We start from the raw sequence: 20029 nt of genomic DNA on the forward strand, positions 1-20029 counted from the left end.
CTACTTAGGAAAACAAATGCTCTGCAGGATCTAATTCATGAAATGTTAGCGATTAGAGGCTCAAAAGAGCACACAGGAGATGCTGTATTATTTAAAGATTGTTGACTTTAGGAAGTAACTATTGCTCTTGATATTAGAGGGCAATAGGGAAGAAACATTGTCCCCAGAACCTCAGAGCTTCGTGGAAGCAGCTCAGTCCGCCGGTGTTAATCCCTTGAGGAAGAGACATAACGCTTAGTGTGTCAGGGCCTCTGAGGCTGGGTTAGGACTCAGCAGATTTCCAGTGTCCTGTGGCACGCTCAGACATGGTCCAAAGAAGGCTGTGCTAGATGGCTGCTCCTGCCTCTGAAGAGGTTATCATGGAAAGCTGGAACACACCAAGTATCCACTGTGGCTAGATTCACACTAAGAGAAACTGGAAAATCAAGAAGAGATGTTCTTCTTCTCTCTTTTCCATTTCCTTCTCATCTTCCCTTCTCCCCCTCCTCCCCTTACCCCCTTACTTCCTCTGGCGGATCTAAAAGGAAGGCAGCTAGATAGGACATCTGGGGAATACAGTTTGCAAGCCCCAGCAGCAAGATCACAGCATAAGGACTAGGAGAGTGGACATGAAAATGAGACTAGGTTCAACAAACACAGCTTCTGAGGGACTTGCGGTGTACAATGCACAGGGTACAAGGAAAACCCTCTTCTCCTATTACCTAGAGTGTGTACATCTTTCTGTATCTGAACACTTCAGTAAAAATCAAGATTCTTAGTTTTGATCTCTTTATATTAATTATAAATGCAATTGATTCTTGGTAAAATTGGTAGAACAAATGCAACACAAGGCTGTGGTCACCCTTTAAGATCTGGGGAACAAATTTCCATGGTGCCAAATCACATATTTAATCTAATAATTTTTCCCACAATTTCTGTATAGTAAGAAGTCCTATATTTTTCTTGGCTATTTTTGGTAATGGTAACTAAGATGAGATTCACTGGGCAGCTTGTTTCAAAGGGAATGCCAGTCACCAATAGTAAGCTCTCTTAGCAATTGGTGACCTTGTTGGCCTGATAGAATGGAAAGGGTAATTCAGAATGAGGGAAGGGGTGTAAATGAATGAACCACAGGTGGTAGATCTAGCATTTAGGTTCACTTCTCTATTCCATGTTTTGTATCCAGTGAAATGATATACTCAAAGTCAATAAATCACCCAGAAAATTGTGTAAAGAAACATTGTCTCTGTAATAATGTATTTTGTACATAATATAGCTTTGGAAAATATCTAAATGCCAAGTTATATAAGACAGTAGATTTATTTCTGTCTCAACCTGAAAATTAGAGAGAGAAGAGAAAGAAAGGGAGGGATTTGTAAAACATAAGCATCTAATTTTCAATGACATTTTCAACTTTTCTTTGAAGTTTCTGTTCAATCATTTTCTCTTATTTTCACTGTGTGTTAATGTTTTCCATAATGATTTATAAGATATTCTAGATTTAAAAATTATTAGCTTCTAAGGATAAAATTTACAAAAAATATCATAATTTGGTAATGTAATTTAATTTTATATAGCAAGAAAACTTTTTAATAAGTAGTTTACATTTTCATGTTTTTATACTCATATTTTGGGCAACTTAACAATAAGTGCAGTAAAAATAAATCATAAATATATCCTAAAATATATCCATTATATATTTGTCTCAATTTTATATGATTTGATATCTTAAATTTATTGGTTTTTATTTGCTTTGTACATGTTTGTTGAATGAATGTATGCTTACAAAATAAATATCCAGCTTCCATTGCCAAACTATATAGCAATGTTCGCAACATCATTTATTGAGAGTGCTTTTTTTCCCTATAGGTATTTAATATTCCATTAACATATATACATTCCTCAATAAATTACATTTTTAGCATTGAAATGCTAAGAATATTAAGCCTTTCAGCCAAACCTTGAGTAATATTTCAGTCTATACCTCGACTTCTATAATAAAGATACCTCAACTTCTATAATAAAGAGTATGGCCATATTGTTTTATAATTCAGTTTAATTTTCAAAATACAATATTTTACCTGACAGACTCATTAACACTGTGCAAGGTAGTAATATATAACACCTCTCTTCTGTTAGTAACTGTCATATTAATACATAGAAAGAACTATATTATGTCTCTAGTTGTGTACAGTAATTATTGGTGGGGGGAGGGCATTTTTACACACCACTTTTAATGGAACAAATTACAGAGTTCCTTACAAATGTGTTGGCATAACAGTTCACGTTTTTCAACATCCACACTCCAAGGAATCAACCATATAAGCAGTTATTCATTGCAGACTGAAAATCTCTTCAACAGAAAAGTCAATAACAAGCAAAAAGTGATGCTAAAATTTAAAAATCAATTAAACATGTGAATAAGCAGCCTTCTTAAGAACACTGGAAACAAATTGCAGGGGTAAACTAACCCATATTCTAAAATTTGTTCTGATCCACCAACTTTCATTCTTTTGGAACCACTTTTTTTACTATTATTATAGGCAATCTAAGCAGAACCATCTTTGAAAATGTGAGAATTAGAGCTAGTTCTGGATATTTTTGGCCTACAGCAAAACGCATTTTATGTTTCTAATGTTAAAAACATAAATATTGACTTTGAAAAGAAGTTTGTTTCTTTGTTTTTAATATTAGGTCATTAAGGAGTAATATTAATATTTAGGTGGAGAACACATACGACAAACCAACAGACAGATAACAACACTACCCATTCTATATATAGCAGATTTTGCCTATGTCACTATCCGTGATTTAAGGCAAGCCTATCTAAACTCTTTGGCCACAATTTCATCAATAGCATTTATTTTAAAAGACGGCAATAGATTCTGATTACTTTTAAATTAGGCCTTCACATAGCTATAATTACCCTAATTATATAGATGATTACACATTTTCCAAGACACAGAAATGCTATCTCTGAAATATTTCTCAACATGTTTCCTTCTTCTCTATGGCCATTACCATTTCATAGTTCACACACTGTAAGATTTACCATCATTAGACGTTTCCACAAGAAATAAACTTTGTTAATTAAACCACAACACAGTGATTTCTTTACTGTTAGCCGTAAGATATATCCAGTCACAGAGATTTTATCATAGATAAAATGACTTATATGTTATCTTCTAGAATTTTTATAGTATCAGGTCTTAGATTTTTAAGTCTTGATCCATCTTGAGTTGACTTTTTATAAGGTGAGAGATAAGAATCCAGTTTCATTCTCCTATACGTGGCTTGCCAGTTATCCCAGCACCATTTGTTGAACAGGGTGCCATTTCCCCATTTTATGTTTTTGTTTGCTTTGTCAAAGATCAGTTGGCTGTAACTATTTGGGTTTATTTCCATTAATCAATGAGTGGATAAAGAAATTGTGATATATTTATATTTATATTATATATATATATATGTATGATATATATAATGGAATACGACTTGGCCATAGAAAGGAATGCATTAATGACATTCGCAGTAACCCAGAAGGGATTGGAGATTATTATTCTAAGTGAAGTAACTGAGGAATGGAAAAATCAAACATTTTATGTTCTCACTCATAAGTGGGACCTAAGCTATGAGGATGCAAAGGCATAAGAATGATACAATGGACTTTGGGGACTCAGGGGGAAAGGGTGGGAAGGGAGTGTAGGATAAAAGGCTACAAATTGGGTTTGGCGTATGCTGCTTGGGTGATGGGTGAACCAAAATCTCACAAATCATCAGTAAAGAACTTACTCATATAACCAAATACGACCCGTTCCCCCAAAACATATGGAAATAAAAAAATTTTTAAAAAGAAAAAAAGAAATGACTTAGAATAGATTAAATATGGTATGGATTCAAATGCAATTGATCTTTGCTAGAATTCTGTTGGGAAAAAGAACAACAATGGAGTTCATATTAGGATACATTATAAATGGAATTGTTTTGGTACAGTCAAGACTTTTCAATTCACAACTATTAGATATTCATACCTAAGATGTGAGGATCATACCATAAGGTAAGGCTTAAGGTAGGTCCTAATAGTACAGAGTGAAAATCAGGAGGCTATAACGTAATACCTGTGATTTATTTCTGGCTGTGGCAACTAACATATGGTCTTTAACCATAGCCTTACTCCTAACATGAAGAGTATCAGAGAGCAAATATTCCAGATGAAAAAAATAAAGCTAAGGGTTCTCTTTATATATACTTATATTTATATACACTCATGCTTGAGTAGACATAGAAATATCTGAGGTGGATACAGAGGTGAAAGATGAATAATTTGTTATCTCCAGGAATCCACACTCTAGTTAGAGAGAAAGCCATGCAAATGTATAAGCAGATAGCTACGTCACACTGTGACCTGAGCAACAATAAAATACAGGCTGTTCACAGAAATTGTGAGTACCCAAAAATACTGAACTTGGTTGGGAGGAGTCAGAAAATGTCTCAAGGAAGTTTTCACAACTCAGCAATGTTTTGCTGTATGGATAAAATAAATGACAATTTAGCAGTGGACTAGTTTGTTGGGAGCCAAAAGCCTGAGGGTCATGATCAACTCAGCATTCCACTGGAGGCTATATGATCAAACAGCAAACTGTTTATCATGAATGCAGAATGTGGGCAAACTCACATCTGTGCCTGCCGCCAGAAGGTATGCTGAGGGCAGTCACTCCCTGGCACCATGCTTCTTGAGGTTATCTACTGGAACATCTGGAGCCTACTGTTCATGGAAAGCAGTCACGCAAGACAGCACTAAATCAAACAACTGACCGACAATCACCCCCTTCTCCCTATCTCCTTTACTCAATAAATACGAAGGGCTCTAGAAGCTCAAGGCCCTTGTTCACTAGAAGCAAGGAGCTCCCTGACCCCTTCTTCCAAACATACTCTTTTGTTTTTGTCTTTATTCTCGCATTCGTCCTCCTTTGTTCAGTCCACCAGGGTCTGTGGCACCAGTTCATGAAATATGCAAATATGTAAAACAGGACATATGATACATTGATATTGATAATCATGTTTATGGACACTAAAATTTGTATATAAAAATGAAGAGGAATAAGTCTATTAAAAAAGCATTTGGATGTCAATTTTAGGAACTTGGATATGCACATATAAATAATTACAAATCACTAAGATTTACATGCTGGGGAATAATCCTATTGTAGGGCTGATATAACAGGTTATTTTATTTTGCTAGGCTTTGATTTGCACAACTCATGAAGTTTGGTGAGATTTGCATGTTTTACAGGACAATTTGATTACACGTTAATTATCCAAATTGTTGCAGTTAATATTGATTTTACTTGTAGGTTTTGAAAATTACATTTAAAAACATGAGCAGAATTATTTTATAACTTTTGAGGATGTAATTGTAACTTTCATTTGTTTAGTTTAGTTTACACATAATTTATGTATATATTTTGGAATAAGTGATATATTCACATGGTCCACTTTCTCTTTTATTATATCAGCCCTGCAAAAACTCCCCAGTATAGGCATTCAAGAGATATTTTGTGAAGATTTAAACAAATATACAAATACAAGTAGATTTATTTGTAAAGAGTTATTTTAGTGGTAGTGTGACAGGCATATATAAGAGGATAAATTTATAGGCATAAGGACCAATTTGGAGGCTATTGAACAGTGCAAGTGTTAAATTATAAAATGACCTAAAGAAATACCAGTGGTGATGAAGAAGATAATCAAGAATTTCAAGGAAGTTTGGGATTTGAAGAGATTTATGAGTTTGGATGGCTTGATGAAATTTATATGGTAAATCAGAACCAAAGAGGAGATGAACAGCAGATATTACTGGTATTATCATTACTATTATTATATTTGTTTACAGGATATGTGGGATGTTTGCAACAACATCAGATACCTTAATATATTGGTTGTAGCTAGACGTAATTTCTTATGATGACACTGAGAAACAAATTCCAAACGTTTGCAGTCCTGTCCTCTCTATACATGAAGATCGGATCTGCATCTAATATCCTTGGCAATAATTAACTAAGCAGATGAGAGACCTGAAGGAAGAATCTCCCTGCATCTCTTGTGTGGTTAGTGTAACAGAGAGAACAGTTAAGATTTGCAAAGACCAAGGGCATGGTAGATATATAAGAAATAATTGTTGAGTAAATAAAAAAGAAAACTCCTGCTATACTTTGTCATTTTACAAAAAAAAAAAAAATGGACATGTTGGAAATAATCTTGGAACATAAGGAGATGATATTTCAACTTTTAAGTTAACCTTCATAAAAATGTTGCTAAAGCTGTGATTGTTTCCTTCATATGAAACCCAAATTACATCAGAAAAGAGTCTTTAGTTTTAATGACTTGTTTTGAGTCTCCTGGGGATTAAGGCAACTAATGTTTTCTAGGTCATGATGCCACTGGGAGTGGTAGTAGAAATAAAAGTCTTAGCATCTCCCCCAGACAAGCTCTCCAGAGGCAGAGGGGGGGGGCTACCTTTTCCACCAACAGGTTTGTTCTCAGGTCTGAGAAAACGTGGATATTCTTTTACATGTAAAGTATCTAGAAGACACCTTCAATTATTTTCAGTTTTTCCTTGGGAAATTAATTTGGGGGGAATTTCAAATCACAGAAGATATTATGTATCTGGATATCTGGGGAACAGAAAGTACCCCTTTCCTGCAGAGCTTTGTCTCTGATAGCAGTGTCTTGAACAACTGTTTCCTGGGAATTGGAGAATAAAAGAGCCCAGAGAGTATTCAGGAATATATAACTCTTTGCTTCTGTAAATTTTTAGAAGAGCTGAGGAAGGGAGATAGGCATTTACATAAAATTGAATTTTTAAAGGAATAAAATGAACCTTCTGGAGAAACATAGTAAAGGCAACTTAATCTAAATATTTTAGAGCATGGAAAAAACAACATGGGGTCATGAAGGCAAAAAGAAAAAGAAAAGGAGGATATTACAAGGAAGAAGATTTTGGACACCACATTGCCCAAAGATAATACAATTGTTTAATCCTTGTAATAGTATAATTTGGGATACAAGAAACCATAATATTTAAATTGCACCTCAGTCTTAAATTGAATTCAGTAGAAGATACATTGCAATCTATCAGAATCAAGGAAGCAAGGCAGCATAGAGAATTATGCATTCCCTACCCTTCTCCTGATGGGAACATTTGGCAGTGTCTGGAAACATTTTTGATTTTCACATCTGGGTGAGGGCGTGGGGAAGTGAGACTTTCATCTAGTGGATGGAAGACAGAGATGCTGCCACACATGGTATAATGCACAGGGTAGCTTCCCAAAACAAAGAATAATCCAGCACAGTGTCAGTACTGCTGAAGTTTAGAAACCTTCAATGAGAATGAATTTTATAATAGTGAGAAATGGCTAGAAAGTACTGTCTTTTTACTGGTGCTTTAAATTCTTGCATAAATGAACATATAGCACTATGGAGAGTTCTCGCTGTTGCATGGGACCCTGTTGGTGCTGGAACATTTAGAACCTATTTGTTGGTTTACAGAATTGGAGATGACCTTACCATAAATGACAGTTCACATAAGTCTTAATTATAAAGGAATATGATTGAGAGATTTGGGTGTGAGTGGCTTACAGTACTAAAATGAGGAAAGTGTCAGGTAAACCAGGGTGTATTTCTTGCTATAAGATGCTGGGTTGTTTTGGATATAGAGTTGCAAGATTCAGCAGACAGAAATGCAAGACACTGAATTAAATTTCAAATTCAGATGAGCAAAAATAGTTTTTACTATGATTATGTTCCACACCATATTTAGGCCATAAACAATTTTTTTGTCTACCTGAGATTCAGATTTGACTGGGGTTCTAATTTTTTATGATAACCCCGCCCCTATGCCTAAATTTGAGAAACCCCACCATTCTCTCTGTATTAAAAACTCCTTTCTCATGAATGTCTTTAGAGTGGGGTGACACCTTAAGAATCTCATCTATATTATTGACAGGTAAGAGAAGGACAGAACGAGTGTCCTAGCTGATGATGTTAAGGGAAAGGAGAGGGGACCTAGAAAAAGAAAATGTCTTCGTCAATGTTTATAGGTTTTTATGATATTTATTCCTGAATGGGGACATTTTTCTAACTTCCATTCTCTATGTCTCATTTTGATAAATATTCAGAACACCTCTGCATCCATCAGCACTTTCACTGGGCTAATTTTTATAGTTTTATAATCTAAAGATTGTCTTAAATGTGGTCAAAAGAATTAGAAAAATGATATATGAAAATGTAATCTTTACAAAGTAAAATGTTGAAATTTCTATCTGTAATGTAGAGTAAAGCCTGGCATAGAGAGATGAGTCTATGACTGAGAGTCAAGGAAACTGGGTCCATTGCATCGAATTTGTACCTGTCTTGGTCAAGTCATGCCTTCTTCAAGCTTCTGTTTGTTTATCTGTAGAATAAAACCATTCAATAGATGTCTTTACTGAAAAACATAAATAATTACTGATTTTGATGTCTGGCCTATTTAGTTCAAAAGAATAATAACAATTAAAAGGCTGAACTAAAAATTAACCATAGATAGAAATGATAACTCTAAGACTACATTCACTATATCACAATATATGCCCTTATTATTATTATATAGAAAATAGTTGCAATTATAGAAATTATTTCAGACTCATTTTTTGTTAGAAATTGTTGGACTGATATAAATACTTATTTTACTTTACTGGATTTTTCTTTGCAGAACTGGTGAGGTTCAGTGAGATTCAGATGTTTTACATGAGAGTTTTATTATATGTTATCACCTGAATTGCTTGATTTCATAATGACAACTGTATGTTTTTAAAATTTTATTTAAGGACATGAACAGAATTAATTTTCTAATTTGGAGAAAGCAACATTTAATGGTAATTCTATTTTGAAACTGTAGTTATTCCTGTCTTGACACAGCACCTATCAGGATATTAACAGAGATCTATTTTGTCTCACCTTATATTCTACAGAGGGGATGGTTAAGCTGCTTTGTCAATCACTTTCAATATTTAATTTCTAAGACTGATTTTCGGATCACACGAAAGGAAAACATGTTTCTGACAGAGAGAAATACGACATCTGAGGCCACATTCACTCTCTTGGGCTTCTCAGATTACCTGGAACTGCAAATTCCCCTCTTCTTTGTATTTCTGGCAGTCTACGGCTTCAGTGTGGTAGGGAATCTTGGGATGATAGTGATCATCAAAATTAACCCAAAATTGCATACCCCCATGTATTTTTTCCTCAACCACCTCTCCTTTGTGGATTTCTGCTATTCCTCCATCATTGCTCCCATGATGCTGGTGAACCTGGTTGTAGAAGATAGAACCATTTCATTCTCAGGATGTTTGGTGCAATTCTTTTTCTTTTGCACCTTTGTAGTGACTGAATTAATTCTATTTGCGGTGATGGCCTATGACCACTTTGTGGCCATTTGCAATCCTCTGCTCTACACAGTTGCCATCTCCCAGAAACTCTGTGCCATGCTGGTGGTTGTATTGTATGCATGGGGAGTCGCATGTTCCCTGACACTCGCGTGCTCTGCTTTAAAGTTATCTTTTCATGGTTTCAACACAATCAATCATTTCTTCTGTGAGTTATCCTCCCTGATATCACTCTCTTACCCTGACTCTTATCTCAGCCAGTTGCTTCTTTTCACTGTTGCCACTTTTAATGAGATAAGCACACTACTCATCATTCTGACATCTTATGCATTCATCATTGTCACCACCTTGAAGATGCCTTCAGCCAGTGGGCACCGCAAAGTCTTCTCCACCTGTGCCTCCCACCTGACTGCCATCACCATCTTCCATGGCACCATCCTCTTCCTCTACTGTGTACCCAACTCCAAAAACTCCAGGCACACAGTCAAAGTGGCCTCTGTGTTTTACACCGTGGTGATCCCCTTGTTGAATCCCCTGATCTACAGTCTGAGAAATAAAGATGTTAAGGATGCAATCCGAAAAATAATCAATACAAAATATTTTCATATTAAACATAGGCATTGGTATCCATTTAATTTTGTTATTGAACAATAAATTTTTCCTGTTTTTTCAAATGGACTGTGCATCAAGAGTTCACTAAAAAAAATCACTTTAGATTTAAAAAAACCTTTTTTGCAATAGAATGGCTATGAGTTTTAGATCAGGGAAGCTATTCTTGGCTCAGCTTATATAAGCCAGACAAAACTAATTGACGTTGACTACAAAATAATAATTGTCTATAAAATATTTTGTCTACAAAATAATTGTCTTTGTCTACAAAATAATATAGTTTTATTTATTTATTTATTTTGAGATGGGGTCTCACTCTGTTGCCCAGGTTGGAGTTCAGTGGTGCGATCTCAGCTCACTGCAACTTCCACCTTCTGAGTTCAAGCAGTTCTGCCTGCCTCAGGCCCCTCAGTAGCTGAGATTACAGGTGCCCACCACCACGGCTGGCTAATTTTTTTTACTTTTTAGTAGAGACGGGGTTTTATCATGTTGGCCAGGCTGGTCTCGAACTCCTGACCTCAGGTGATCCGCCCGCCTCATCTTCCCAAAGTGCATGATTACAGGCGTGCACCACTGTGGCTGGCCATGTAATATGATTTAGTTCATAAGACATTGTGGAAAGCAAATGAAAATGTAAACAATATAGCTGGCATATTACATATGTGTAATAAAGGTTAATTATGTTATCCTTTCTTTCCTGGTGACTGATAGGTGTGTTAATTGAACAAGCAATTTGGTACTATAAATTTAGTGAAAAAAATGGTATTCAGAAAAAGATAGACCCATTTTCTAGGACTTCAAAATCCAGTAATGTTGGTAAATATCCTAAAAGGATTGGTGGAGAGAGTTACTTCAAATCCATTTGGAGATGCAGGAAAGATTGTTTCAGAATTGCATGCTATTTTAATTTGGCCTTGAAGGATGAATAGGTTTTTGAGAGAAACAAAAGAGCAAGACAGAAGTTTTAATCAGGAGTAAAGAGCATGGATAATGTTAAGGAGGTGATTATATATTATTAAGTTAATATTTCAATAAATGTTTTTGAGCTACAATTTTATGTCATATACATCCAAGGTATATTGTTAGGTACGCGAAGAAATGTACATTTGAATATAATGTTACTACTATTCTAATCTATTTCAAAACAGAATTCCAATGTAGAGAATGAAATAATTTTTATTTTATTTTATTTTTATTTATTTATTTTTAGACAGGGTCTCTCTCTGTTGTCCAGGCTGGAGAGCAGTGGCACGATCTTGGCTCACTGCAGCCTTAAACTCCTGGACTCAAGCAATCTGCAAACTCTTGGACTCAAACTCCTGGGCTGCGTCAAATTCCTGGGCTGGCTCCCAAAATGCTGGGATTACAGACATGAGCCACTGTGCCCTGCCAAGAATGAAAGGATTTATGCGAGGTTTAGAAATATTAATTTGCTTCTTGAATTATTGAGAATGAACACAGAGATGATATATTCACTTTCAATGATTATGCTTCTTTTCCATCACCTACCAGTTACCATCAGTATTTATAGAGCAGCTTGAACAAGGGCATGTTGCAATTCTCTTCATCAGGGCTCTTTAGGCAGCCTTCTTAAAACAATTGGGTGGAGCTGTTATAAGTATTGAGAGCTTATTGCCCACTTGGACTTGAATGTTGTTTTAAATTAACTGTCATTTTTAATTACAATCTAAACAAAGAAAGAAAGATCAAGACAATTGTGTATATTAATGAGGCTCAATAGCCCCCTGATAATTGTAATATTTATTTTAAGAGGTCCTCACACACACAATATCTAATTTAGAAATTTTATAATGCAATCTTTATCTTTTTTATCTTTTCTTTAATAATTTTTACTCGAATTACTTATAATTCAGTCTTCCTTTGTTCTATATGCTATGTATCTGAATGAAATTCCAAATTAAGCCTGAAAAACATTGAGATAATAAATTATGGCTATTTGGGGAAAGGTAAAATGAAAACCAGGCAACATGTTGTATTGGTTCAATGAAATAATTTGCAATAGTTACATGATTATAAACTTATCATGATGAACTGAAATCACTTTTATCACAGTTTATATGTGAATACGTAACGTTAGTCAACACTGTTTTATATATTCACAAGTGAACTGTCTTCCATTATACATTGTCACTTTCTTGATCTTTAACACCTGGAACAATGGTGGAAAAGTAGCAGAAAAGCTGTATTAATCTTGATCGAAATCAGTGAGGAATACTCCATTTCAAAAGAGTAAATTCTTGTGTTTCTTCCTTTACTTAGCAAAGGATAATTACATTTTTATAAAGTAAGAGACACAATCTTCTAAATTTTTATTCTGAAGAAATTATATATATTGTTTAAGTACTCAGATCAATGATTAAATTAGTCGGAGACATAAGACAATAATTTGGAGATTAAACCATAGAAGCATGAACACTTTTCATAAATACTGATCTCATATTCTTCTTCCTACAAATTTAAATTTCAAAGTATCTTTGGTAGCTCCTATTCCTGCTATGTAGAACATAATTTACTTTACCATACTTCAATTCTTTTATTCATGTGTCACTTAAAAGATTTAATTTTGAAAAACTACATAATGATTGAAAACTTAGTATACTTCAAAAATAATTCATTATAAATTTATTTATTTATTTATTTGATCTCTGGCTCTTCTTTTTTTATTATTATACTTTAAGTTTTAGGGTACATGTGCACAACGTGCAGGTTTGTTACATATATACATGTGCCATGTTGGTGTGCTGCACCTATTAACTCGTCATTTAGCATTAGGTATATCTCCTAATGTTATCCCTCCCCCACCCCCACCCCACAACAGGCCCCAGTGTGTGATGTTACCCATCCTGTGTCCATGTGTTCTCATTGTTCAATTCCCACCTATGAGTGAGACCATGTGGTGTTTGGTTTTTTGTCCTTGTGATAGTTTGCTGAGAATGATGGTTTCCAGCTTCAACCATGTCCCTACAAAGGACTTGAACTGATCATTTTTTATGGCTGCATAGTATTCCATGGTGTATATGTGCCACATTTTCTTAATCCAGTCTATCATTGTTGGACATTTGGGTTGGTTCCAAGTCTTTGCTATTGTGAATAGTGCTACAATAAACATATGTTTTCATGTGTCTTTATAGCAGCATGATTTATAATCCTTTGGGTATATACCCAGTAATGGGATGGCTGGGTCAAATGGTATTTCTAGTTCTAGATCCCTGAGGAATCACCACACCAACTTACACAATGGTTGAACTAGTTTACAGTCCCACCAACAGTGTAAAAGTGTTCCTATTTCTCCACATCTTCTCCACCACCTTTTGTTTCCTGACTTTTTAATGATCGCCATTCTAACTGGTGTGAGATGGTGTCTCATTGTGGTTTTGATTTGAATTTCTTAGATGGCCAGTGATGATGAGCATTTCTTCATGTGTTTTTTTGGCTCCATAAATGTCTTCTTTTGAGAAGTGTCTGTTCATATCCATTGCCCACTTTTTGATGGGGTTGTTTGTTTTTTTCTTGTCAATTTGTTTGAGTTCATTGTAGATTCTGGATATTAGCCCTTTGTCAGATGAGTAGGCTGCAAAAATTTTCTCCCATTCTGTAGGTTGCCTGTTCACTCTGATGGTGGTTTCTTTTGCTGTGCAGAAGCTCTTGAGTTTAATTAGATCCCATTTGTCAATTTTGGCTTTTGTTGCCATTGCTTTTGGTGTTTTAGACATGAAGTCCTTGCCCATGCCTATGTCCTGAATGGTATTGCCTAGGTTTTCTTCTAGGGTTTTTATGCTTTTAGGTCTAACATGTAAGCCTTTAATCCATCTTGAATTAATTTTTGTATAAGGTGTAAGGAAGGGTTCCAGTTTCAGCTTTCTACATGTAGCTAGCCAGTTTTCCCAGCACCATTTATTAAATAGGGAATCCTTTCCCCATTTCTTGTTTTTGTCAGGTTTGTCAAAGATCTGATAGTTGTAGATACGCAGCATTATTTCTGAGGGCTCTGTTCTGTTCCATTGGCCTATTATAAATTTAAATTGAAAAAGAAAAAGTATAATTTCCATTGCATGCCATAGTTACCCCATTTCTAACATGATTAATTTAAAATACATAGATTATCAAATTTCTTGTCATTTCTTTTGTCCTGGAACTCACATTTAAGTTCTATTTACTCTCCAGAATTGTGTCTCTTATGATTCACATGAGTTTATTACTTTGTAATTAATAAATATATGTAAATTAACCTTTTATTTCTTGTGGTAATAAAGTTTTATGTGATTTTTATCTACAACAAATAATCACTACAACAAATATTACCATAGTTCTACTAAACAACTTAAATGTGTTAGAAATATTTATAAAATACTCAAAGAGAAACTGTAAAATTATCTATGGAAATGCATCTCTTAACTATATTAATTGGGATGAATTTTTATTTTTATTTCAATTACTAAAATTATCCATGAATAAATATGTTTATTGGTAGAAGAGCACAGGTTTCAGCATTCTTTATTTTTTCAAGTTTTATTTTAGATTCAGGGAGTATGGGTGCAGATTTGTTACAAAGATATATTGGTTGATGCTGTGGTTTGAAGTATGATTGAAACTGTCACTCAGGTAGTGAGCATAGCACTCAATAGGTAATTTTTCAACCCTATGGCTGCATAGTGTTCCATGGTTTTTATGTACCGGGTTTTCTTTATCCAATCTACCACTGATGGGCATTTAGGTTGGTTCCATGTCTTTGCGATTGGGAATAGTGCTGCGATGAACGTATGGGTGCATGTGTCTTTTTGGTAGATAATCTATTTCCTTTGGGTATATACCCAGTAACAGCACTGCTGGAATGAATAGTAGTTCAACTCTCAGTTCTTTTAGAAATCTCTAAACTGCTGTCCATAGGGGCTGAACCAGTTTACATTCCCACCAGCAGTGTCTAAGCTTTCCTTTTTTTCTATAGCTCTGCCAATATCTGTTATTCTGACTGGTATGAGATCATAGCTCACTGTGGTTTTTATTTCATTTCTCTGATGATTAGTCATTATCAGCATTTTCTCATATGATCATTGGCTGCTTGTATGTATTATTTTGAGAAGTGTCTGTTTAAGTCTTTTGTCCACCTTTTAATTTGGTTGTCTTTTGAATGTTGATTTAAGTTCCTTATGAATTCTGGATATTTGACTTTTGTCAGATGCACAGTTTGTGAATATTTTCTCCCATTCTGTAGATTGTGTGTTTACTCTATTGATAGTTTCTCTTGTTGTGCAGAAGTTCTTTAGTTTAATTAGTCTTACTTGTCATTTTTTTGCTATTGTTCTAATTGCTTTTGGTGATTTAGCCATAAATTATTTGCAAAGGCTGATGTCTAGAAGTATATTTCCTAGGTTTTCTTCTAGGATTTTTATAGTTTAAGGTCTTAAATTTAAGTCCTTAATATATATTGAGTTAATTTTTGTAAATGGTGACAGTTAGTGGTCCAGTTTCATTCTACTGCATATGGCTAGCCAGTTATTTCAGCATTATTTAATGAACTGGGAGTTCTTATACCAATGTTTTTTGTGTTGACTTTGTCAAAGATCAGATGGCTGTAGGTGTGTGGCTTTACTTCTGGGTTCTCTCTTCTGTTCTTTTATTCTGCGTGTCTGTTTTTGCAGCAGTACCATATTGCTTTGGTTACTATAGCCTTTTGGCATAGTTTGAATTTGGGGTAATGTTATGACTCTGGATTTTTAGTTTTGCTTATGAGTTTTAGAACAGTTTTTTTTTCTAATTTTGTAGAAGAAAAATGATGTTAGTAGTTTAATAGGAATTGTGTTGAATCTGTAAATTGCTTTGGGCAGTGTGGCCATTTTGACGTTATTGATTCTTCCAATCGATAAGCATAGAATGTTTTCCCATTTGTTGTGTCATTTCTAATCTCTTTCAGCAGTGTTTTGTAGTTCTCCCTGTAGAGATTTTCAACTCCTTTGTCAGACGTATTCCTAGGTACTTCGTTGCCTAGTATTGCATTCTTGATTTGGCTCTCAGCTTGAATGTTGCTGGTGCATGTAACCACTACTAATTTTTCTACATTGATTTTGTATCCTGAAACTTTACTGAAGTAGTTTATCAAGTTTTATCAAAAAGCCTTTGACAGAGTCTTTAGGGCTTTCTAGGTATAGAATCCTATTGTTAACCAGGAGAGATAATTTGACTTTTTCATTTCCTATATAAATGTCTTTTATTTATTTCTCCTACCTGACTGCTATGGCTTGGACTTCCACTACTATGCTGTATAGGAATGGTGAGGGTGAACATCCTTTTCTAATTCGAGTTCTCAAGGGTAATGCTTCTAGGTTTTGCCCATCCAGTATGATGTTGGCTGTGAATTTTTCACAGATGACTCTTATTATTTTGAGGTATGCTCCTTTGATGCCTAGCGTATTGAGGGTTTTCACTATGAAGAGAGATTGAATTTTTTAAAAAATGTTTTTCTTGTCCATTGAGATTATGATATTTAGTCACATTAAAATGAAGATCAGAAAGGAATTGTGTTGTTGTTGTTGTCTTTGTTTCTTTTTCTTGAGATGGAGACTTGCACTGTCACCCAGGCTGGAGTGCAATGGCATGATCTCGGCTCACTGCAACCTCCGCCTCCCAAGTTCATGCAATTCTCCTGCCTCAGCCTCCCGAGTAGCTGGGATTACAGGTGCACACCACCACACCCGGCTAATTTTGTGTATTTTTAGTAGAAACAGGGTTTCACTATGTTGGCCAGACTGGTCTCAAACACCTGACCTGCTGATCTGCCCTCCTTGGCCTCCCAAAGTGATGAGATTACAGGTGTGAGCCACCGCACCCAGCCCATTTGATGTTTTTTAAATATCACTCACATATGTCAAAATTCTCATGAATCCTTATCATCAATTATTTAAATAATTGACTACATATAATTATGTCACTTTTATTTGTTGGTGAAAGCAAACTTGGTAATCTCCTTATATCCAAGTGGAATTGATATTCAGTCAATAGAGATTCACTTACTCAGTTTCTGAGAAATTTATTTGCTAGGGTTTGGGGAAGAACCTTTCTGAGTTACATGAGCAAGAGGAAGACTTAAAACTTAGATAAATTAGACATCCAGAATCTCTGACAAATCAGCCTCTTACTGAAATATAAGGTTACATTAGAGGAATTTGTAGTGTGTGGTGCATTAATATAACCATAGTATCAACAGAACCTAAGCCCAGCTTAACTCTACACATTTAATGTTGTTTACTCAGCATCTATTGTTCTACAAATAATATCAATCCTTAACAAAAAATATGTGGGAGAACATATATGTAGGGGAGAACAACTCACTGTAAGAAAACAAATAAACAGAACCAGATTCAGATATAGCCTAGACGGTAGAAATATTATACAGGCAATATACAATAACTATGATTGCTAGGGGCTCTATTGGAAAAGACAGACAACATGCATAAATAGTGAATTTCAGCAAAGTCGTGGAAAATATAAAACTGAATCAGTAAAACAACTAGAAATTACAGTAAGAAAGTAATAGTTATAAAGAATTATTTAAGGGGCACAAGAGTAGTCTCAACATAGCTGAGTAATACATTAGTGAAATTAAAGATCAATCAGTATAAAATGCCTGAAACTAGACACAGAGAAAAAAACACATCTAAAATCTGTGTAACAATATCAAATAATAAAAACAACTGTAATTAGAAACTCTGAGGTTTTTTTTTTAAGATAAAGGTAAGGCAAAGAGAGTATGTGTAAATATAACGACTAATAATTTTCTCAAGTTAACAAAAGACACCAAGCCATAGATTCAAGATCTTAGAACTAAGCCAAATTCACACACACACACACACACACACACACATCACACTCAGGGAGAAGAAAACAGGAAAAGAGAAAATATTGAAAGGAAGGGCCATTACACATCAAGTGGGGCTTTGCAACATCAGCATTATTAACATTTTTTTACTGGAAAGTCGTTGATGTTGGGCACTATCCTGAGAGCAGTAGGATAGCTACCTGCATCCTGACCTCTATGCACTAGATGTCAGGAGTATCTCTTTCCAGCTGTGACATCAAAATATCTCTACCTTTGCCAAATGAATCTTTTTGGTGGTGGAGACACAAATTGACTTCCACTTTAGAACAACAGATTTAAAGGAATAAATCTGTTGTAATGTTGTAAGCATTACATTCCAATGTTGTAAGCATTACAACAGATTTCCTGGCAGTAACTACAAAAGTTATTATAGAAAAAAAGGATGAGAAACTGAAAATGTTGATGGGAAAACAGCAAAACTGTCAACCCAGGATCATATACACAGTGGAAATCTCTTTCTAAAATTAATTAAAAAAATTAGTCTAACAAAAACTGACATAATTCATTGACAGCAGCTATGTGCCACCAGGAATGTTAAAATAACATATCCAAGGAGAAGCAAAATGATATCAGATAGAAACTCAAAGCTATGCAAATAAATACAGAGCATGGGAAATTATGTCAATGATCTAAATTCAAAAGTGATTTTAAATTGCTCTGAAATATATCAGTCTTAAGAAAAGACACCAATTAAACAGCATTTATAGACTCTGTAAAAGTAAAGTCTACAACAATAGCATCATGAATAAGGAGGACTTAGATGTTTATTCTTTTAGGGTATGTAGAAGATCAATAATTTATTAGTAAATATATTGTAAATTGCTGTAAAAGTATCACAATTTTAAAAGACTTAAAATAAGAAGTCAATAGAGCATACAAAATAAATGGAATCATAAAAAAATAATCCAACTCAAAAAAATAAAAAGTGAATGGAAGAAACAAGAAATACTTGAAGCAAGTAAAGATGAAGTATCAAGATGGTAAACTTAATTCCGCAGAATCAGTAGTAACATTAATTCTACCCATATGTACATTAACCAAAAGTACTCTAGACACAAAAATCACAAGATAAAGTTTGCCAGATTGAACAGAAAAGCAAACAAAACTCTGTGATATCAAAAAATATGTTTTCTATTATAAAATCCTAATAAGTTAAATATAAAAGGCTCACAAAATTTTATGCAGTAATAATTGAAAGAGCTCTGGAGAGGCTATATTAATACAAAACAAAATAGACTTTAAAAGAAAAGCTATCAGTCACTAATAGCACCTTAATTTTTCTGTAGGGATCCAACCTCTCCTGTTCTTGATGGGTCTCTGTCTTTGCATCCAGTGTATTTTGGGAAGCATTCATGGCCAGTCATCAAGAGACCTGCTGATTTGTTTCTGGATAGGTACTAGTGAGCCAGTGCCTCAGCTGTGGGATTTTGTTAGAATTATTGGAAAAGAAGAGCTTCTTTCTACTGAGGCTAATCCTCTGGGCAGGTAGAAACTGCACAAAACATCTCATAGCTCTCTTTACTAAAAAAAGAGAATCTGCTTGAGAGTTTAGTCATCAAAAAGAAAAGGATAGCAGAGAGCTGGAGAATGGGAAATTTTTTGAACACTTGGATCCTCTCTCAACTAATCTATGTCCAGATTTTTGTCATGTAAACAATAAATTCCCACTTTTGCTTAAGCCACTTAAAAAATTTAATCTGCCACATGCAACCAAAGATGAAAAATGCACCTTCTTATAAATATTCTTTTTTTATAAATATTCTCTTCATTAATTGCATAATGTTCTAGTTCCTTGTAGTGAATTTCAAGATAATTTAGCCATATATGTGTGTATGTATGTATAGATGGGTACATATATATATACACATATATAGGTGTGTGTATATAACAATATAGCTATAGATATATACATACACAATTTTAAATTAACACATATATATATATATACACACACACATAGTTTTAAATTAACTTGTTTTATATGTCTTTCAGCTATACTTATCTTTCTCCACTAGAAAACACATTCTCAATCTCATTTTCAATTCTCCAATCACGCCATGGACTTTCCAATTTCCACTTAAGTGTTTGTGTTGTTTTCCCTTCTATTTCTCATCCACTATTTTTCACT

The 20029-nt window shown here is 34.5% G+C and overlaps 1 protein-coding gene across 1 annotated transcript; it reads left to right on the forward strand.

Moving 5' to 3' along the window:
* Positions 1-9065: 9065 nt before the first annotated feature.
* OR5D16 (olfactory receptor family 5 subfamily D member 16) lies at positions 9066-10052 on the forward strand. Its single transcript, NM_001005496.1, has one exon. It carries the CDS (start codon positions 9066-9068, stop codon positions 10050-10052), a length of 987 nt encoding a protein of 328 aa, NP_001005496.1.
* The last annotated feature ends 9977 nt before the right edge of the window (positions 10053-20029 follow it).

The sequence above is a fragment of the Homo sapiens genome, chromosome 11 (assembly GCF_000001405.40).
Source record: "Homo sapiens chromosome 11, GRCh38.p14 Primary Assembly".
Lineage (NCBI taxonomy): Eukaryota > Metazoa > Chordata > Mammalia > Primates > Hominidae > Homo > Homo sapiens.